Source organism: Homo sapiens, chromosome 8 (assembly GCF_000001405.40).
Source record: "Homo sapiens chromosome 8, GRCh38.p14 Primary Assembly".
Lineage (NCBI taxonomy): Eukaryota > Metazoa > Chordata > Mammalia > Primates > Hominidae > Homo > Homo sapiens.
Window position 1 is genome coordinate 79,654,561 of NC_000008.11, and position 23,288 is coordinate 79,677,848.

The following is a 23,288-nucleotide window of genomic DNA, read 5'->3' on the forward strand; positions in this document are numbered from 1 at the left end:
TGTTGCATAAACGCTTAGCAACAAAGCCTTTTTTTAAAAAAATTTGTAACTCCTCAATGAGGATTAAATGCTTCTTCTTCTAAGACAGTCCGAAATATACTCACAGCTGAAAATTCAGCTAACCGCATTTCCCAACTAGCCACATTCTATAGAAAACTCTAAGCCATGCAGATGAGTACAGACTTGACAATAGTGCTCAAGGCTGGGAGTACTATTCATCTGAAAAGAATGCTCCCTCCAATTGGTGGGCCGTTATTCTGCTAGGTTTGTGTTTGGATAATTATAAGATGGCTATGTTTTTCTTCCCCAGTCTCAGGAGGCCCAGGTGCTGAAACAATTGGCAGAGAAGAGGGAACACGAGCGAGAAGTCCTTCAGAAGGCTTTGGAGGAGAACAACAACTTCAGCAAGATGGCGGAGGAAAAGCTGATCCTGAAAATGGAACAAATTAAGGAAAACCGTGAGGCTAATCTAGCTGCTATTATTGAACGTCTGCAGGAAAAGGTAATCTCAGCAGAGTCCTGAGCAGATGGATATATTCATATGCAGCACAGCTGGGTGAACTTCCATATGCCTGAGCACAGAGACGAAGTCAAAATTTGCTGCAGGTGTGAGGACAACTAACTCCCATGGGCAGGGTCTCACAGTGTAGCATTGAGTTAGCAGGAGGTGCAACATGGTAGAGAAATGGGAATCCATCATGAAAGCTGGAATTTTGTCAAATTTTCCCATGGTGAGTGGATTCAGGGAGGCTGATTCATGCTTTTGAAATGTGTAAGACTTCTATACAAGCCTCACGAGGCAATCTGTAGGAAAAATGTTACACTGGAAATATTAATGTCTATATATTATATTGATATAAGTATAAATAACATTTGATTTAATATTTGTTTAATATATGACATTAAATATATATTTAATTAAAATATTAAATTAGAAAAATATATTTGCCAGAAAAGGCCAGGGTATTTATGAACACTGGTAAGCCCATTCTAGGGTATAATAGCATCACATGGGACCATAGCAAAGATTAGCTCATAGGGGATGTTTCATCCAGTTCTGGTATCCTGGTGCCCTTCTCTTCAACAACCTAAACATATATTCATTCCCATGAGTCAGGAGGAGCTGTGCTGGAGTTCTTCTGAAAAATGCTGTCTTTCACTTTTGTACTCTCTATGCTGTCTCCCACCTATCCCCTCAAAAAACCTTTCCTTTGAAAATATACAGTATAGCTGTGAGTAGTTTAGCTGTGTCCGTTTCCAGAAATTGGAATAAGCATTGAGAAATGGGATGTTTGAGAAAGACGCCTCAATCCTTTTCTGAGCAGTCAGTCACCCTTCCCGCCAGTAGCAAGTGCCTTTGTGTGATAGGCATTGGAGATGCAGAGCAAAACAGGAGTGTGCCTGTCATCAGAGCCCTGAGAGTTTAATTAGATGAGCCTCCTGTTTTCTATTTCTCAGAGTTTCATGTCTTCTGTTAGAGATGGCCCTTCTCATCTAAGGTTCAAAAAACCTTATCCTGAAGTTCTGATGATTCTGTTTTCATTCTCAGTCTCTGACTGCAAATATCCAACTAGAAACAAAGGAAATCAGGCATGAAAACTTTTAAAGATATAATTGCATGGAGATCTTCATTTGTGCTCGTGAGGAATTTTTGAAAGCATTGCTGGGGAAGGGTGTGTGGGCTCTGATGCAGCAGTAAGACACTGAGGCTCTCAGAGGTCCGTGGACGAGTACTGCTGACTTGGGCAAGAACCGGAATAGTTACCTGATGCCTTATCCGAAACATGAAAGTTCGGATTAAATTTGTATTTATAAGCTAGTGTTTTTATACTCTCAGAACAATGTCATTGCGTTTCACCCAAGTGAGTCAAGTCACGATTTGGAAGAGGCAACAGAATTTGGCTCTCTCCAGGTGATTTATGGCGGTATAGGAACACATGTTTTACTCAGATACAGGGGAGCAAAGTTCCATTTGCTAAAGTTTACTCCCCTGACCTTCAACCAGTCAGTCTTCCTCCATCTGCCACCACTTTGCACTTCTCCAGAGAACTAAGGATGTTCCCGCTTGACCAGTGCTCATAACATGGACAGCAGAGGGCCACTGTGTGATCTCTTTGAGATCACTGTGACTCAACCTTCTTCTCACATCCTAGGCCCTAAAACAATTAAGTGAAGTTGCTAGGAACGGTACCTGCTGATCTTATTGCAGCATTCTCAATTAGGCCTCAATGCAAGATTTATATCACTGGCAGTCCTGGAGCATTTTTGTTTTTCAAATTACACATACCCAAACACACGGCATAGCCTCCTTTTTTGTTTGTTTGTTTTTTTGAGATAGAGTCTCGCTGTGTCGCCCAGGCTGGAGTGCAGTGGCACGATCTCAGCTCACTGCAACCTCTGCCTCCTGGGTTCAAGTGATTCTCATGTCTCAGCCTCCCAAGTAGCTGAGATTACAGGCGTATACCACCACGCCCAGCTAATTTTTGTATTTTTAGTAGAGACAGGGTTTTGCCGTGTTGGCCAAGCTGGTCTCAAACTCCTGACCTCAAGTGATCCACCCACCTCGGCCTCCCGAAGTGCTGGGATTACAGGTGTGAGCCACCGTGCCCAGCCAGGGCATATCCTTCTTGATTTCAATTGTAAAATAGTTCAAAAATTTTCCATATTTTATCTAATATTTCCAGAAGTGCTAGCTTTTAACGGACCATTTTTTTCCTCTGTGTGTTTTTTTCTCTTCACCTAGCCCAGCCATGCTCAGCTCATTTTTGTACTCTTTCCACTCCCAACCAAATTTAGTGCCCTCCCCCATACATGCATACATGTACATCTGCACACCACTTTTCCTGCAAATAATCAACCCAAAGAGTGCTTAAAATTCCTGACATCAACCCACAGAATCTCCAAGGATGGGACCCAGCATCCATACATTTTAAAAACTCTCCATATAGTTCCAATATGCAGCCAGATTTGAGAACTAGTGGTTCGTAGCCTGTTCTGATTTAAATCTCAGCTCTCAGCAGTCTATCCCACGTCACATAATGCAGCCCAGAGAAATTCTAGGACCACATTTTTTTCTGGTATTTCATAGCTAATGAGGTGCTTTTCAAATCTAATAGGATCTTTGGCCAGTGTCAGTCAAGATCTTTTATCTCCTCAATAAAAAGGAAATACCATATTTACTTTGATTTGATGTATATCACATAGGTGGATTTAATACAAAATTGTGGTTTACATATTGTGAATGTGTATACTAAAACTACTTTGCTTTTTCCTAAAATAAGACAAAGTTTTATATTGGAAGTAATATTTAGCATTTTGTTTGAATGAAGTTACTCCTATTAAATTAGAAATTTAAAAGAGGGTCAGTAATAACAGTAAAGCCAAAAGGCATGACACTGCCAACGTAACATAAGCTGCTCTGAAATCTACCATATCAAAAGATAATTATGCTGGGCATGGTGGCTCACACCTGTAATCCCAGCACTTTGGGAGGCCAAGGCAAGAGAATTGCTTGAAGCCAGGAGTTCGAGACCAGCCTGGGAAATATAATGATACCTTGCCTCAAACAAAAATTCAAAAATTAGCCAGCAGTGGTGGCACACTTGTAAAAATGCCTGTAGTCATAGCTACTTCAGAGGCTGAGATGAAAGGATTGCTTGGGCCAAGGAGTTCGAGACTGCACTCCAACCTGGGAAATATTGTGCCACTGCACTCCAACCTGGGAAACAGAACAAGACCCTGTCTCTAAAATAAAAAGAAAAAAAAAGATGACCACTTCTGAAATGACACCTATCAATGAGTTAATCATTCAATGAATATGTATTGAGTCCCTACTATATGCTTAGGAACCTTTGTAATATCATTACCAACCATGTCTTTCCCAATACAGACAATACAAAATTCAGCAATAAATAATATAGCACCAACAATTAGAGAATAAGACAACATGTAGTATGGTCCAATATAGACAGTAAATACAAAGACACTGAATAATATCAGTAAAAGTAAATTCACATCAAGGTCACTACACCATGCGCCCACCCTTATGATAGCCCTCACTGGCCCTATCAATTAAGCAAGAGACATGATACAACTCTGTGCAAGCTTTTCCACAATCTGCCTACCATTCAGCACTCAGTCGCTCTTCCCTTCAATTAAGAGAATTGAGCATTCAAGCATATTTTCACCATGATGCCCATAATGGTATCTTCAATGTCACTGACTGATAAATTCCCAGAAACCCCTCAGAGCCCCAGCCATGTTAGCTCAAAGCCTTTAGCTAAAACTGAAAGCCTAAAGCAAAAGCAGCCCTGGCTGCACTTCGGAATCTACTGGACAGCTCTTTAAGGGATTCTGATTTAATGTCTGGAATAGGGCCAAGAACCTTGTATTATTTTAAAGGCTCACTAGTAGGCTCTAATATTTAGCCGTGGTTGAGAACCACTGTGCTAAATGTTTCTTAAATATGCTTTGTGATGTCATCATAAATTATATTTTAGTATTTTTTGTCTTTGTTGCATAAGTGTTCTTTCTTCCTCCAAAGAAGAATGTTACACTCATTTCTTATTTCAGTTTCCTGTTTTCATAGCACCTCATCTTAACACTCCAGGCTATTATATAGAAAAGAATCAAATGTGGAGAAGGCTGTGGGAGAAGGGATGCCTGTGCCACAAAGGCCTGCATTAGGCTGACCTATTGATGTCATATCCAGGACTCAAAAGACTAGTCTGTGGATTATGACTGGTGAAGTTCAAAATGTTCTTATTCTTAGAGTGGTATGAGAAGTAGAAAGAGAGAGAAACAGAGAAGGGGAGGAGAGGGGAAGAGAGGAAGATGAGAGAAAGGAAAGAGAGGGGGAAACACCTGTTCTTGACATACAGGAATGATTCAAGACATTTTCTTCCTCCCCTGATGTGTCCCTTTCTCCCCTAACGCACTATGCAGCATCCTGCAGAAAATTCACCACCTGACCCTTTTAGAAACCCTGAGTAGTAGGAGCGCCAAATGACCCAATCAAGAATTGCAGTGAGACAGTTAGTTTTGAAAAATCAGTTAAAGCATGTATAATCATTTTAACAACAATACATCTATTCACTAAACATATAATTTTAATGTCAAATATTTACGTGTAAACATATTGACCAATCTTTCGATGTAGTTGGGCCCAATACCTTTTCCAAAAATTGATCAGTTAATGGGGGTTCTATGGGGGTTTCTTTTCTTGCCATTATTCACACTTATGTCACATTAGCTATGATTTGCAGTTTTAATTTCTTTAAAATTGAGTAGGGACTAAAGACATCTCCAAAAAGCCTGGATATAGACTTTTTACAACTTTTCCATAGCTTTTATAGTTGACTCACCCAGTATCTACTAAATACTTCACTTTCTCACGTATTTCCAAAGGTTTCTCTCCACCCTCACAATTTTCCATTAATGTAGTACTTAATTAAATTAGATAGTTAAATTTTCAAATGTGAATTGCTAAACAGGTGTGGAAATACCATTGGCTATAATCAAGCATATAACACAACCATTTGAGAAGGAAAGTATGTGGCAATATTAGGGAAGAGCCCTTTCCTCTCAAGCAATTCAGCATTTAGGAACCATCAGACAGCAGGACGATGGAGGGAACAGAGAGGGTTAACATGGCAAGTTACTGAAGAGGACTTCTACTGAATCTTGTTGAATTCCCCACTTAATCCAGATTGTATCATATCTTCTTTCTTTTGTAATTCTACCATATCATCTTAGTCAATGCCAAGACTTCTGAGCTCATAACATGGTAACAAATACCAAAGGAGCTTTCAGTATCGTTTAGAAAGGAGAGAAGCAAGTAACCCAGACAAACTTGACAACTGCTTTCCCCTATCCAACCATGAAGTACAGTACTTAGGAAATAAAAGAAATTGCTTCACTATAATTCATCATTTCACTTCTAATATCTAGAAAATGTCAAATGAAAATATTATAGCCATATTTTAGTGGCAATAGTAGCACATAATATGATGCAACTTAAAATGATAAAAATATTTTCAGGGAATAAGATTCTGTGATTCTTTCCCTAAGAGGTAATTTTGATAATATGTACCTGTTTTGTAAATGTCAATAGTCTTGGGGATACAGGTGGTGTTTGGTTACATGGAAAAGTTCCTTAGTGGTGATTTCTGAGATTTTAGTGCACCCAATACCCAAGCAGTGTACACTGTACCCAATATGTAGTCTTTCATCCCTCGCCCCCACTCCCAACCTTCCCCCACAAGTCTCTAAAGTCCATTATATCACTCTTATATCTTTGCATACTCATAGCTTAGCTCCCACTTATGAGAACATATGATAGTTAGTGCTCAATTCCTGAGTTACTTCACTTAGAATAATGGCCTCCAGCTCCACCCAAGTTGCTGCAAAAGACACTATTTAGTTCCTTTTTATGGCTGAGTAGTATTACATGGTGTATATATACCACATTTTATTTATCCACTTGTTGGTCAATGGACACTTAACATTAGTTCCATATCTTTGTAATTTCAAGTTGTGCTGCTATAAGCATGCATGAGCCTGTGTCTTTTTCATATAATTACTTCTTTTCCTTTGGGTAGATACCCAGCAGTGGGATTGCTGGATCAAATGATAGTTCTACTTTCAGTTCTTTATGTTTTCCACAGTGGTCATACTAATTTACATTCCCATCAACAGTGTAAAGTGTTCCCTTTTCATCACACCCATGCCAACACCTATTGTTTTTTGACTTTTTAATTACGGCCATTCTTGCAGGAGTAAGGTGGTATTTCATTGTGGTTTTAATTTGCATTTCCCTGATGTTGACAATATTTAACTCTTTAGTTATAGATTCCAGCTATTATCAATTTACACCTATTGCATTCTTCTCATCTTTTGTTTTCTTGTGATTCTGATGCACAAATATCATTTGTGCAACCACTTACTGTTGAACATGTCTGATGAACACTTACTATTGAACATGTCTGATGAATGAATAATGAAATAGGAAAAGGGATTAAAACTAGCCTTTATTAATTGTTTGCTATAGGCCAGACATTTTTGGATGTACTATCACATTTCATCCAAACAACAACCTAAAAGAAAATACTGTGATTATCCCCATTTCACATCTAAGGAACCTGGTCTTTAGGAAGATTAAGTCATTTGGCCAAGATCACAAGTAGACCACAGAGACTAGATTTGAATGCAAGTCTGTTTGACTCCAAACCTTTTTACTATCTGCCCATGACCCCTGATCACCAACATCTCAATGTATGAACATGTGCTTTCTTAGCTCACACAACTCACTCCTGACCCCTTTTTTATATTGCAAGTGCATAGTCATTAGTAAAAAGAAGGATTTTTGATGATACTGACCTCATCTTGAATTTAATTAGGCTCATATGACAGAATTCCATAGATGGAATTGACATCCTAGGTCATATAGTCCAAGTCCTTGTTTATATTTGATACCTAGTGAGATTAAAGGGACATTAAAAAGTAAAGAAAGGAAAGACCTCATATTTCTTACCTTCCAGTAGAGAAATCTTTCTATGAAATCAGAGGAAAGAATTAGAGGACCAGAATTTTTCCTAAAATCAACTTTCATACATCTTTTTTCATATAAAAGGCATAGCTGCATACAATGCTAAAATATTGTATTACATTTCCTTTATATTGATGGGAGGAAGGGGGTAAATTGCAGAAAACATTGTAAATTTAGATATGCTTGGGCCTCTGACAGTGCCTAGCAAATATCAGGAGATCAATAATGAAATAAATATTATCAAAGAGTAGTCTTCTTGATGAACCTTCTCTGAGTATCACAACTGCTTTAGGAACCTCTAGATTCAAGGTCTAGTAATTGCAAACAGTGAGCTGATAAGAAAAACAGACTGTATGGGAAATTACATGCTTCCTGCATGACTGCCTTTTGTTCTCCCACATTTTGATATAAAGTCACATTAACAGTTCATGAGTAAATATTCGATAATGTGAACGTAAAGTGTTCAAATAATAGAGTGACTAAAATGCCTGAAAACAAATAATTTTTAATTAGAAACTCATAATCATTTATTTTCTCTTTTTCCACATTATCTCAAGCTCACAAATTATATTTATTCTTTCCTATGGCAAAATCCATTTTGTTAACACTAATTTTGAGTTTAACAAGAAGTGTACTCCAAAGTAGCCTAATAATACTAATTATAATGTTTCCTGCTATGTTATCAGTTTGAATTTATATGAATCTTTAGACTTGAGGCTTCTTTTTCCTAGCATAGTGATGGTCTGGGCTTTTTCTCAATTTTTGCCAGAGCTCAGCTCTCACTAATTAGTTTCTTTCTGCATGAGAAAAAGATTTTGCTTCATCTTTTTCCTTATAATAGCAGAACAAAAAGAAGAATCAGCTGCATCCATGCTAATTTCCCCTGTGACATTTCCAAACAGGATTTGATTTCTCTATGCATGCCTCTTTCCTTCTCTTCATGGTTTTTGAACATATACAAAAGCTCATTTAAACCAATTAAATAAAATTGTTTTTAATCTCTTTCTCTAGAGTCAACTTCCTGCTTACTCCAACTCTGTATCTTTGAAGGAAGTATAGGGTGGTCTATGCCTTTTTTCTCCCAGAATCTACACTTGAAAAGACACATTTTTCCATGCAACTATAAAATGTTCTCCTCACTCAACATTGAAATTGTATAGCAGTGATTAAGAGAGTGAGCTGTAGAGCCAGGTTCCCTGGGTTTAAATCCCACTTGTTAGTATCATGAAGATGGGCAAGTTACTTACCCTTCCTGTGTTTCAGTTTCTTCATCTGCAAAATGGGGACAATAATAGAATGTCCACTATAAGATTATTGTGAGGATTAAGGGAATTAATACAGGTAAAACGTGTACTGATGCAGGTCTGGTACACATTAAGTGCCTAATAAATATTCAGTATTATGATATAAAGAACCCTATAAGTGTAGACTCCTTGAGATTAATAGAGTTTAACGATAAGTTTTACTTTATAGCTGGTCAAGTTTATTTCTTCTGAACTAAAAGAATCTATAGAGTCTCAATTTCTGGAGCTTCAGAGGGAAGGAGAGAAGCAATGTAAGCAACATTCTACAGAAATATAAATAATACTACTAATAATTAGCATCTTAAAATTTCAATTCAATGAACATTTATTTAGCGCCTATGATATATGCAAGACAGTTTGATTTTAGTCATCTGATGTATAGCCACATACTAAAAAATACTGATTTTAGTCATCTGATGTATAGCCACATACTAAAAAATACTTCCTCCATCAGTTCCCTCCTCAGGAAGTTCAGTTCCCAATCCCAGGCTAGTACCTTGGTTCCTTATGTAAATAAACATCCACCAATTACATGCTATCTGCAAAGCACTCTGCTAGGCCCTGCAAATGGAAAAAAAAATGATAAAACATAGTCCAGGCCCTCAATGAGCTTACAGTCAAATATAATAGAGGAGACAAGAACAGAGAGGCTCATAATACAACTAGAATAAAATGACTGCCGAATAAAAGGAAAGATTTATGCAGGTGTTCAAATGGAAAGTGAGATAAGTTTGCAGGTTAGTCTTTGCAGTCTCATAAAAATCTTTATGGAGAAAAGGACAATGGTCATAGGGCTTAAAGAGTAAGTTTATAATCCTGACCAGTGGAGATGAAAGACTAGCATTGAAAATTGCATGACAAGACAATTCCATTAAACTGAAACATCAAGTGTGTGTAGGAAAAGATGGGGGTTATGACTGGAAACGTCACTTGGACTGCAATTATGAAGGGCCTTGACAAACAGGTCAAGAGTTTAAGAAGCAGTATAGAAAGTCTTCGTCCTGGATCTAGCCCTCCCAGAGTGTCCATCAGGATTATAAAGTCCTTAAAATATTAGTCAAAAGGAACGACATCATTAGAAATGATAGAGAAACAATAATGTGATGTTTTATTACCTTTCTCTGGATTTATACTCTGATCCTAATATTCAAAACTATCTTAATAACATGAACTTTTGGTCATAGTTTTAAACAAAAACAGTGTTAAATATATTTTTTAAAACACAGTAAGTCTTGTAAGATCTTTTCTAACATGACATTTTGCAGGGCCCATATTTTCCTTCTGAAATGGGAAAAATTCATAAAAGTAGACACCAAACTGGGTTACTTCTAGTCAAGCGCATGGTACGCAAAGGACCAGACAAAAAGGGCCTGTGACATTTCTTCTTCCTTTTGTGTTTTTTAGGAGAGGCATGCTGCGGAGGTGCGCAGGAACAAGGAACTCCAGGTTGAACTGTCTGGCTGAAGCAAGGGAGGGTCTGGCACGCCCCACCAATAGTAAATCCCCCTGCCTATATTATAATGGATCATGCGATATCAGGATGGGGAATGTATGACATGGTTTAAAAAGAACTCATTATAAAAAAAAAAAAACAAAAAAAATCAAAAATTAAAAAAAATCAATGCGGTCTCTTTGCAGAATGTTTTGCTTGATGTTTAAAAAATACCTTGGATCTTATTTTGTAAATACTTACATTTTTGTTAAAAAATACAAGTATTGCATTATGCAAGTTATTTCATAATCTTACATGTCCTGTAACAGGCTTTTGATGTTGTGTCTTTCCACTCAAATGAATTTGCTAGGTCTGTTCTTTTTGAAGCTCCCCATGTCTAACTCCATTCCAAAAGAAAAATGAGGTCAGTAGACAGTCTATGGTGCTAGAAACCCACCATTGCCTAATGACCTAGAAGGCTTTGTTGTCTCTGAGCTTGACTAAGACCATACCTAGATCACAGGTATTATGACTCCACATGAACCTTCACATTTGTTCGCTCATAATCTACTTACTGCCTAAAAACTACAAAACCAGGCTAAGAAATACCACCAGTCATAGCATTTACTTCTGCTTCTCCTGGATTATGTGCTACAAATGTGCTTTGGCTTTAGAAAGGGATGGATGAGAAGACAGACCTGAGACCAATCTGGGTAGAAGCAAAAAGTTGAACCTTTTAAAGTGCTGAACACAAATCCAAATTCGAATGGTTCAAGCAGCCGTGAAATCGCTCTTCATAAAGTGGGCTTAATTCTCTAGTTTAAGTTCTTTTGATGGAATGAATTAATTAATGTGTCAGGTGGCTTATTTGTGGATGCCATGATTGATGATGTTCATTTTAAGCTCTTACCTATAGTACAAGTACATGATGCTACTGAATATTTTTCCACTTGGAAACTGTGAGCTGGTTGTTGCATTAAAACACACATACAAACAAAATCAAAAACACTGCGGACTTTCACTCAAGCTGGTCTTTCTTCCCCAGTGTAAGGCAATCCTGCCTACTAACAACACCAACAACAAAACACTCCATCTGTGAAGCTGACGCAGTTAAGGGGGCTAGGCAGGGCATTTGTGCCAACTAAGAATCACCAGATACCCACCATAAGTACCTATCGCAGTTTTGAAGTCGTTTCTCCCCAACTCCCAACTCCTGAAGGTTGCTGCCTGCATATTTACTCTTCATTAGTGCTATTTTCCTGTATGTCATTGTGAGCAAGCTGTGATTAATAAAGAATTGGAGTTCTGTGAACTAATAAAGGTTTGGTCTGTTCTCTTGCCTCTTCATGTGTCTGACCCTGGAGTTCAGATTTTAAAAGGGCAGCCACTGAATTAGACAATCTCACAAGCAAAGAGATAATAAGGAGAGTTTGAAGGAAACCAGTGCCCTGCTGAGTCATTTCCCTTTGGGAACAGCAGGCCGCATCTCTTTTCTCTTGCCCTCTGATGGGCCAACACTGTGGGAGAGGTCTTCAATCTGCTCCCTTTAAAAACATACAGGACTGAACAAGATACCACAAAATGCAGACTGATAATTCTGAGGAAGTGAGCCCTTTTCAAAACATTGAAGGTTCCTGGCATTATCTCAAGTTCTCCCCTGTGGCCCACAGAACGCCTCCCCCAGCCTAGGCCGTCTGTTAAGATGTGATCCCTGACGTACTGCTGAATTTTGTACTGCCAATAAACACACTGCACACATGGGCGCAGCAGGGTCCTGTCAGTGACCCAAATGGATCTTACAGGACCAAAGGAACCACATCCAGTTTTAGCAGAAAATCATAAATAATTGAAACCACACAGATTTGTGAATAAGTACAGTGGGCTATGGTCCATAGGAGCTCTAACAAGCCAAGTTTAGGGTTGCGGCCACCTGGTCTCTATTTTGAATATCCTTTAATATTTGTGGGAATCTAATACTGCTACAAACAATGCCTGAGCTTGATGTGAAACACATGAGCTTCCAATGAGCATGAAATGAGTTGTCTCTTCATACTGGTTTTCTATAGCTTAGTTTGGAAAACATTACCCGAATTACTCATTGGGTCAGACCCTATGATAAGCCCTGGAAACATGAACATGAATGACCACAAGAAGCTCATAATCCAGTAGCTTATTTGGGCCCCAAAACAGCAAACATGATATGTTGGTCAGCCCTCTGCAGCATATTTGGGGAAAATGGATCATTTCTAAGAAGTTTCTGAAATATTAGAAATATTTGACAAACTTCTCATAGTACTTTGTATGAGAACTGAAACTGCTGACCAGTCCAGCTGCCTAATCTCAAAGATGAAGAAGCAGGCCGGGCACGGTGGCTCATGCCTGTAATCCCAACACTTTGGGAGGCCAGGGCAGGCAGATCACTTGAAGGGAGGAGTTCGAGACCAGCCTGGGAAACAAGGTGAAATATCTTTTCTACAAAAAAAAATACAAAAAGTAGCCAGGCATGCTGGGGAGTAACTGTAGTCTCAGCTACTTGAAAGGATGAGATAGGAGAATGACCTGAGCCTGGGGAGATCAAGGCTGCAGTGAGCTGAGATCACACCGCTGCACTCCAGCCTGGGTGACAGAACGAGACCATGTCTCAAAAAAAAAAAAAAAAAAAAAAAGCGAAAAAGCAGAGGAGGGAAAGGTGAGTGGTTGGCTCCAGACCACAGTGCCCACATCTCATGACTTCTTCTTCCCTTATTTGAGGTCCTCAGAAGAACATCTCCAAGTTGGGTGCAGCATATACTGCTTGGGTGATGGGTGTACCAAACTCTCACAAATAACCACGAAAGTACTTACTCATGTAACCAAATACCACCTGTTTCCCAAAAACCTATAGAAATAAAAAAGCAAAAAAAAATTTAAAAGAAAAATAAATAAATAAAAGAGCATAATTCACAATGGGGGGAAAAAAAGAACACCTCCAAACCTGCCAGACCAGTGAGGCCAGAGGGCCTCAAATGTCAGTGTGCTTCCAAGTTATGTGAACGGCTTGTTAAAAAGAGATTTCTGAGTCCTGCCTCCAGAGCTTTGGATTCCTGAGGTCTCTGGAAGCCTGAAAATGTGCATTTCTAACATATTCCCAGAAGATGCTAATACTGCTTGTCTGCAGCCCTCACTTGAGAAGCCCTGCTGTCAACAATGCAACTGATCCAGGTGTGTGGATTCTCTGTGGCTGCCACACTGAGGGAATCTGTTTCAATCAGGGCATGTTCCATTGGAGGCAGGGCAAGAAGAGAAATGCATTCACTCTTATTCAAAAAAGTTCGGGGGTGGGAGGATGCAGAGAAATCCAGAAAAAAGCAAGATAAACAGCTGTGCCTTGCAGGATAATAAAACAATGGAAGCAATCAATCGTGCAGCCAGGGGCTGGGATAGAGCTAAGGTGGAATCAGAGTACCAATGACTCGGCATCTCTCACACAACATGATTTCAGTAAGGATCAAAAATCTGAAGACGCTCCCCACCCTTTAATAGATGAACTGAGTGCTTTTTGCAAGGATTTGCCATTCTGTGAATTACCCAGTTTGTTAGCCTGGTTCCAGTTACAGATTTTTTGTTTGTTTGTTTGTTTGTTTTACGGAGTCTTGGCTTCTTCAGTACTGTGTTTAAATTGCTTAAATGTCTTTGAAATGTTCTGTGAAAATTCACAAAGTTCCATTAGTTTGATGATTCACCCTCCTCCCCTATCTCTCCTACACCCAAAAATGTATGGAACAACTGAATGTTGACAAAGGTCATTCTCTTTTCTAGCAAGAGTCTCGCCTTTGTGCTCTTCATCAGCCTTCACAACACCTGAGAGGAGAAAACAATGGGGGTAAAAGTGCTAATAGGCGTATTGTGGCCCATCTACCCTCCTCCTACTGAGGGAGAGGATGAAAAGGGGGAGACGTGACTTCTGTGGCTTTAGCAGCCAAATAACACATCATCTCTCTCCTCCCAGCCCCTGGACAAGACATCCTTGACGTCTAATCAGGCAGTTTGCTGAAACTGCTAAGGCAAGCACAGAGCCCAGAACAAAGCTAAGGCCCCCAAGCTCCCCCACATTACCTGAGTCGTCTTGGATTCCTCACTGTCCCCCACCACCCACCTCCAGTTGAATATCAAATGGTGTCAATTTGACCTCCACACTGTCCTGCAGTCCTTGCTTCTTTTCTACTTCCAGAACCACCGTCTAGTTTGGGTCCTGGTAGACACTTGCAGCAGCCTTCTAACAAGTCTCCTTTGCTCCAGTCCACAGCCCCCACACATAGTGACCAAGTCTCTCCAGGACTCTACTGCCCGTCCCCTCTATCTGCAGAATGCAATCTGCACTCCTCTACATGACATTAAAGTGTTCCACCATCTCTCTTTCCTCAAGAACACTACTCTCGGCCAGGCACCATGGCTCACACTTGTAATCCCAGCACTTTGGGAGGCCGAGGTGGGAGAATCACTTGAGCCCAAGAGTTCAAGACTAGCCTGAGCAACATAGCGAAAACTTGTTTCTATGAAAAGTTTAAAAATTAGCTGGCCAGGTATGGTGGCTCACACCTGTAATCCCGGCATTGTGGGAGGCCGAGACAGGTGGATCACCTGAGCTCAGGAGTTCAAGACCAACCTGGCCAACATGGTGAAACCCCAAGTCTATTAGAAAAAAAAATTAGCTGGTCATGATGGCATGCACCTGTAGTCCCAGCTGCTCAGGAGGCTGAGGCAGGAAGATCGCTTGGGCCCAGGTTGTCGAGGCTGCAGGGAGACATGGTTGTGCCACCGCACTTCAGCCTGGGCAACACAGAGAGACCCTGTCTCAAAAAAAAAAACAAAAAACAAACACTACTCTCGTTGAACCCCAAACAGTTCACTCTGACGTGCCAATGACATGACATTTCAGGCTTCCACACACACCTTGTACTCTGTATGAAATTATCTTCACTACAGTATAACAGAAAAGGCTAAGTCAGGCTGTCATAAAACCCCCAAATCTCAGTAAATTAAAACTACAAAGGTTTATTTCCGACTCCTGCTACATGTCCAACCTGCTCACTGTGGATTATTCTCTATGTTGTGCCTCACTCTGGAGCCAAATGAGATGGAGCTGCCTCTATCTGGAATGTTGCTGGTCACTGTGGAAGAGGGAACGTACATGCATGGCAAATCACACACAGGTTCTCTTAAAGCTTCCACCCAGAAGTAGCACACATCACATCTCATTGGCCAAAGCAAGTGATATGATCCCATTTAACTCTAAATAGGGAGAAAAGTGCAGTCTCATCATAAGTTCAGGAGGAAAGTCAGAAATATTTATTTGATGAGTCATAACAATGACTGTCACCCCACTGGTCACTAAATATTCAGCTCACTCTCCTTCCTCCATGTAAAGTACACTCACATTGTCCCCAAGATATAAAACCTCCAAGTATCATTTGATCATGGCATCAAGTTCAATGTCTTGGGTAATATACAGTTCTTTCTCTCTCTCTCTCTCTCTCTCGCTCTCTCTCGCGCACACACACACACACACACACACACACATTTAGACATGGGTTCTTTCGACCTGAGAAACAAATAAATTAAAAAGACAAGTCATCATTCCCTGAATATTCAATATGTAATGGCAAAATGGGACAGGATAATCACAATAAATATGCTCATTCTAAAGGATAAGAATGGGAGCAACACCACATTTACTGATCATATAAATTCTGGCATTCCACTGGCCAGACATTGTGAGGCCCTTTACCATTGAGACAGGGCACATTCCTTGACTCTGTCTCCATTATGCTCCCAGAGAGGAGCTCCTCAGTCCAATGTTCTTCATGGCTCTTGGCTCTGTTCTCTAAGCAAATCTTCCTATTTCTTTATTCTCCTTGGTCACATTACAAGGACATTGAGAAATATGCCTCCTTGGAATCTGAATCTCCTTGGAAGCAGATTTCTTGGTCTGTTTGCTGTCCACCAAACCTGGGGACCCAAGAGTCATTAGGTTTTTACTGATCACCATATTGGTTTAGATCCTAGCAGGAAACAGAAGGCACAGTAAAAAGGAGTAAATAATGAGAATTGAATGACAATTATATTAAAAGGGTGTGTTTTAGTACATTTTGTGTTGCTGTAAAGGAATACTTGAGACTGAGTAACTTCTAAAGAAAAGAAGTGCATTTGGCTCACAATTCTCCAGGCTGTACAAGCATAGTATCAGCATCTGCTCAGTTTCTGATGGGGCCTCAGGAAGCTTTCACTCATGGCAGAAGGCATGAAGGCAAAGGGGGAGCAGGCATGTTACATGGTGAGAGAAAGAGCAAGAGAGACCCCCCAGGCCCTTTTAAACAACCAGTTCACACATGAACTAATAGAGCAAGGACTCTCTCATTACCATGAAGAGGGCACCAAGCCATTCATGAGGGATCCACCCTGATGACCCAAACACCTCCTGCCAGGCCCTACCTCGAACACTGGGGATCACATTTTACCATGAGATCCAGAGGGGACAAACATCCAAACTATATCAGGGTGTTGGCAGATTAAGAGAAACCAACAAAGGATGATGAAGCACTGCCTGACGAGAAGTTATGACCTTTAGGAGAGGAACTCAGCCTCCAACAAATGCAGCCTAGCAAGGAAGGATTTGGGAATAAATATCTAAATATCTTTCTTCCCTCACCCTTCAATCTCTAGCCAAGGTTTCACACTAGCCAAATCCAACCAGAAATTAGAGGGCAAGGGATCCCAGTTGTCCTGTGTGTAGAACTCAGCCTCTGAGGCCAAGCAGGATGAAGAAAAGCAGAGAGAGAATCCTGAGGGGTAAACAGAGTGTTTCCTGTCTCTCCCATGAAGACACTGCCCCATCTGCAGTCTTCTCAAGGAGGTATGCTGAGTATTGTCCTTGCTCTCATATGTGACTTCTAGATCATTCTTAGTCCTTTCTAAGACACTCACTCTTGAAGCTCATGTCTCCAATCTATTCAACCACTTCACTTCTTTGTTGGTGTTCACTACTAAGTATCACAATGCTTCCATTATCTCCATTCCATGCATGCCACTTTCTGACCACCATCTACTGTCTTTCCAGCTAAATTTCTTAAGTAGCTTGACCCCTATCCTTCAACCTCACTGGGATTTCCATCCATTTATAGAAGCTTTCCATGTCCCTTATCATCTTTAGTCTTCCCTCCTTACCCAGATTAAATTCTAATCATTCCATTATTGTAATCTCTCTCATATAACCCAATAACTCTCTCTCTTAATGTATTGTTTTCAGAAGGTCAAACCCACAATGCTAGCTAAATTAACTCTCCACCTAATCTATGCCTGTACCCATATAGATGAACATAATTGTAGAAATCAAATAGCCATGCTTACTAGTATCTCTTTAAATTCATGAACATGAACCTCATGTGAGCCCTTAATTTTTCCTGGCAATCACACTATATGTCTCTAGTCTTATACTCTCTTAAACCTCCTCAAACATCCAACACCTCCTCTCCTATCCTCAGCTAATGACTTTTCTTCCTACTTCACTGGGAAAATGAAGCAATTAGAAGATAGTTTCCATAGACTCCCTCCAACACATCAACCCACCTACCACCCTTATGCTCTGCCTTCCGACTACTACTGCAGATGAGCTATCTAAAGCCAGTGCTTCCTTTTGTACACTAGATCCCATCTCCTCTCACTATCTCAGATGTATTGCTCTGGAAATTCTCTTCTCTCCCTCCCATTTCATCATTTTTTCTTTCTACAAATTCAGCATAAAACATGCTATTATTTTTTGCATCTTAAAAAAAATTTTGGATTCCATTTTTCCCAGCAGCTATTGACATACTTCTCTAGTTCACTTTACAGCAAAACTCCAAAAGCATTGTCTCCACTCTCTGTCTTTCATTTATTGCCTCTCCTTCTCTCATAAACCCTTTCCAATAAGTCTTTTACCTTCATTCCACTGGATCTACACTATTCTTGTCAGGTTACCAATGATCTCCATGGTGCTAGATCCAATGGTAAGTTCTCAGTCCTCATCTTACTCTACCTATTATTTGACATAACTGATGAGTCTCCTCTTTGATATCTTTCTTCACTTGGCTTTTCCTACCCCACACTTTCCTTGCTTTCCTGTCATCTCAGTATTGCTGCTTCTCTATCTCCTTTGCTGCCTCTTCTTCTACCCAAACTCTAAATGTTGGCATGCCCCAGGGATCAGTCTTTGGTCTCCTTCTTTTCTGTATCCACACTTACTCTTACTTCATTGGGTGATCTACACCCATCTTGCAGTTCAGACATCATATATATGCTGCTAGTTCCCAAACTCATTTTTCCAGATTTGTCCCCTGAACTAGTCTCATGTGACGAACTGACTACCTAAACATCTTCGTTTGTATACATAAGTGGCATCTCCAAACACATCCAAAACAATACTCCCAACATTCCCTCCCCATCTCTTGCATTTTCATTCTTCTAATTGCTCAGCCAAAATTCTTGTACTATCTTTGATTCCCCTTATTCTCTACATGCCCCACATACAAACATAAGAAAATTCTGTTGCCTCTATTCTCAAAATCTGCCTATCTAGATGGAGATATAGATATAGACGCTATCACCTCTGTCTAATCTACCATTATCTCTTGTTTGGATTATTGAAATAGCTTCCTAGCTATTTGGAAACAGCATGATGTGCTAGACAATACTTTGGACTTTTGAACAAAATGCTGGATACAAAGCCCACCTTTGTTACTTAGCAGTCATGTGACAATAAACAAATAGATTAAACCCTTTGGCCTCTGTTTCCTCAGATGTAAATTGGAGGACGATAATAGTACCAACCTCATAAAGTTTAGTGAGAATTCAATGTATTAGCAACTTAAAGCTCTGAAAGCAATGTCTGACCCCTAGTGAATCATACATACTATTATACTCACAAAGTATAAAGTATTCATTCTTTTTGTTATTTTTATCTAAAAGGAACTGAGAGATTCAAGCTCTTTAAATATAATTTCAACTTTATTTCAGATCCAGGGGTACATGTGCAGGTTTGTTACATGGGTATACCACGTGATGCTGAGGTTTGAGGTACAAATGATCTCGTCACACAAGTCCTAAGCATACTACCCAATATTTAGTTTTTCAGCCCTTCCCCCTGCCTCCCACTCATGTCTAACTAGTCCCTGGTGTACACTGCTGCCATCTTTATGTCCATGGCCACCCAAGGTTTAGCTCCCACTTATAAGAAAGAACATGTGGCATTTGGTTTTCTGTTTCTGCGTTAATTTGCTTAGGATTATGGCCTCCAGCTACATTCATGTTGCTGCAGAATACATGATTTAATTATTTTTTATGATTGCATAGTATTCCATGTTGTATGAGTACCACATTTTCTTTATCCAGTCCACCACTGACTGGCACCTAGGTGGACTTCATGTTTTTTGCTATTGTGAATAGTACTGTGATGAACATGTGAGTGCATGTGTCTTTTTGGGTTTTGGGAAGGCAATATGGTTTGGCTGTATCTCCACCCAAATCTCACCTTGCATTGTAATAATCCCCACATGTCAAGGGTGGGGCCAGGTGGAGATAACTGAACCATGGGGGCAGTTTCCCCCATGATTCTCATGGTAGTGAATAAGTCTCACAAGATCTGATGGTTTTATAAATGGGAGTTGCCCTGCACAAGCTCTCTTGCCTGACACCATGTAAGATGTGACTTTGCTCCTCCTTTGTCTTCTGCCATGATTGTGAGGCCTCCCCAGCCATGCGGAACTGTGAGTCCATTAAACGTCTTTTTATTTATAAATTACCCACTCCAAGGCAGTCCTTTATAGCAGTGTGAGAATGAACTAATACAGGGTGTTTGGTTTTGTTTTATTTTTTTGCTTTTTTGTTTTGTTTTGACACAGAGTCTTACTCTGCCGCCCAGGCTGAATGCAGTGGCACAATCACAGCTCACTGCAACCTCAAACTCCTGGCTCAAGCCATTCTCCCACCTGAGCTTCCCGAGTAGCTGGGACTACAGAGGTGCACCACCATGCCCAGCTGATTTTTTAAAAAAAAATTTTGTAGAGATGGAGTCTCACTATGTTGCCCATGATAATCTTGAACCCCTGGGCTCAAGTGATCCTCCCACCTCAGCCTCCCAAAGTGCTGGGATTACAAGCATGAGCCACCACCACCACACTCAGCATTTTGGCAGAATTTATTTTCCTTTGGATGTATACCCAGTAATAGGATTTCTGAGTCGAACTGTAGCTCTGTATTAAGTTCTTTGAGAAATTTCAAAACTGCTTTCCACAGTGGATGAACTTATTTACATTCCCACCAACAGTACATAAGTCCAACAGTACATAAGTGCTCCCTTTTCTCTGCAGCCTCATCAACATGTTATTTTTTGCCTTTTTAAAAATAGCCATTCTAACTGGCATGAGATGACATCTCATTGCGGTTTTGATTTGCATTTCACTGATGATTAGTGATGTTGAGCATTTTTTCACATGTTTGTTAGCCACTTGTATGTCTTCTTTTGAGAACTATCTGTTCATGTCTTTTGCTCATTTTTTCATGGGGTTATTTGTGTTTTGCTTGTTCAAATGTTTAAGTTCCTTATAGATTCTGGACATCAGGCCTTTGTCAGATCCATAGTTTGTGAATATTTTCTCCCATTCTGTAGGTTGTCTGTTTAATCTATTGATAGTTTATTTTGCTGTGCAGAAGCTCTTTAGTTTAATTAGGTCCCACTTGCCAATTTTTGTTTTTGTTGCAGTTGCTTTTGAAGATCAGTCATTAATTCTTTCCCAAGACTGATGTCCACAATGGTGTTTCTTGGGTTTCCCTTTAGGAGTCTTATAGTTTAAGGTCTTACATTTAAGTCTTTAATTCATCTATCTTGAATTAGTTTTATATATGATGAAAGGTAGGGATTCAGCTTCATTCTTCTGCATCTGGCTAGCCAGCTATCCCAGCACCATTAAATGAATAGGTAGTCCTCTCCCCCATTCCTTATTTTTGTTGACTTTGTCAAAGATCAGATGGCTGTAGGTGTGCAGTTTATTTCTTCATTGTCTCTTCTGTTGCATTGGTCTACATGTCTTTTTTTGCATCGGTACCATGCTGTTTTGGTTACCATAACCTTATAGCATAGTTTGAAGTTGAGTAGTGTGATTCCTCCAGCTTTGTTATTTCTGATTAGGATTGCTTTGGCTACTCAGGTTGTTTTTTGGTTCCATATGAATTTTAGAAAAGTTTTTTTCTCTTTCTGTGAAAAAATGACATTGGTAGCTTGATAGGAATAGTGCTGAGATACAAACTTTTCTTTCATGAACTTTAAACTCATTCCAAATAGCTATTCAAAAGAATTTTTATAGTTTTACCTAGACAACTTACATTCTCTTAGAAGTTTTATTAGAGATTTAATTTTCAAACACATATTTGCCTGCAATGAGAACCTGTGTGTGTGTGTGTGTGTGTGTGTGTGTGTGTGTATGGCCATTTTGGGAACATAGTAAGGTATAAATAAACATATTTATTCTCACAATTTTTGTGGCCACAAAGAGCAAACATATTAGTCACATACCTTTACTTTGCTGAACGAATATATCACCCAACAAAACGTAAGAATCAGTTACAACCTCAAACTGTTGTCAACAACTTTCTATATGTAATTCATTTACTTACTCACTAACAAGCACTCACTCGGAAACAATATTTTGCTTCTATAGCTCTTTCATTATCTACTGGGAGATGAACAATTAATGGTAAATTATATACTCTAAGGAAATAGTGGGAGTAACAGAATGACTCAAGGATTCTCCCAAAGTTTCACATCTTGAGTAATATCTATCTTGGAAACTGTTAATGTTCACACATTCAATATGAAATTAATGGTTACAGAAGAAAGGAACATAATTTCTAGTACAAGGCTATAAACCAAGCATAGTTATATATTACCACAAAAGAGATGGGAAAAAATCTATTAAACGTGAGCAATGTCTACTGTTACAGAATATGTATTACAGAATCAAATGCAACCTTCTTAATTAAACTAGATTATATTTTTTGGCTAGGTTTTCATTTTTGTAAAATGATATTAACACCAAATGTAGGAGAAGAGCAAGAAAAAAGTGCTAGAAACAAGGCGGTCTTTTGGAAAAAAAAAATTACCCACCTCCAATCTGTTCTACACACTCTAACCAAAGAGGGAGGGAGGTGTCTAAAACTGAAATCTGATTGTGTCACTTCTCCACTTAAAATATTTTGGGAGATTGTCATTGCCCTTAAGATAATCTAAATTCTGTAGCATAATTTACAAACTTGTGATCTCACTGCTTTCATCTCTTACCAGAGCCTCATAACCTATGTAGCAGCCTCATTTCCTTTGGTTTCTGGAAAATACTGTGACTTGCTATTCCTAACATTTAACAGAGTGCCTAGTTTATAGCAGGAGTCTTATAAATACTTATGGAGCGAATGAATGAATGAAAATGAATGGATAAAATAAAGAGAACACATACTTTTTAAATGATTTTGATATTCATCTTCTCTTTTCATAGCTATAGCCCACAACCATAGCCAATGACAACTTTTTTTAAGTGTCTGGGTAGTAAAAAACAAAACAATTAAAAACTCAGATTTAAAAGTAATTTCAACAGATTAACAAGTTGATTTTTCAGTCACTGGGCAGGTCTGCACGTGACTGCAGACAGAATAAAAACTTTGTAATTTTGGTGCTATAAACCAAGGATGATAATTGTGAATACACATGTTTTGAAATCTAATTTTTTAGTTAAAATGTTTAAAGTCAATGGTGAGTTCCTTTCATTTCAGTGATACTATAAATGATTTAAGGAACAAAGTTTTTAAAAATCATAACTGAGAAGTCACCAGTTGGATCAAGATGTAGGGCTGGATACATTCATGTATCACTGCCTCTACTCAAAACCTGCGAAATGGCATCAAAGATATTTAAAGATAAAATAATTCCACTGCAGTAATGGAA

The 23,288-nt window shown here is 39.3% G+C and overlaps 1 protein-coding gene across 3 annotated transcripts in view, besides 1 other annotated feature; it reads left to right on the top strand.

The window, feature by feature from the left end:
* Positions 1 to 11,598, top strand: part of STMN2 (stathmin 2) — a 55,042-nt gene extending 43,444 nt beyond the window's left edge. For 2 of the 3 annotated variants that reach the window (NM_007029.4, XM_005251142.3), the window contains 2 exons: positions 311 to 502; positions 10,255 to 11,598. In NM_007029.4, coding sequence (NP_008960.2) covers positions 311 to 502; positions 10,255 to 10,314 — 252 coding nt within the window. In that variant the 3' untranslated portion in view covers positions 10,315 to 11,598. Of the gene's footprint in view, positions 1 to 310; positions 503 to 9,019; positions 9,102 to 10,254 lie in introns of all 3 variants that reach the window. The other variant, NM_001199214.2, reaches the window with a different exon arrangement.
* Positions 11,358 to 11,900: an enhancer, noted in NCBI's record as "H3K27ac-H3K4me1 hESC enhancer chr8:80578153-80578695 (GRCh37/hg19 assembly coordinates)". NCBI's record gives its function as "activates a minimal SCP1, AML or CMV promoter by ChIP-STARR-seq in primed H9 embryonic stem cells {active_cell/tissue: H9 hESC(primed)}" and the evidence as "EXISTENCE:reporter gene assay evidence [ECO:0000049][PMID:30033119]".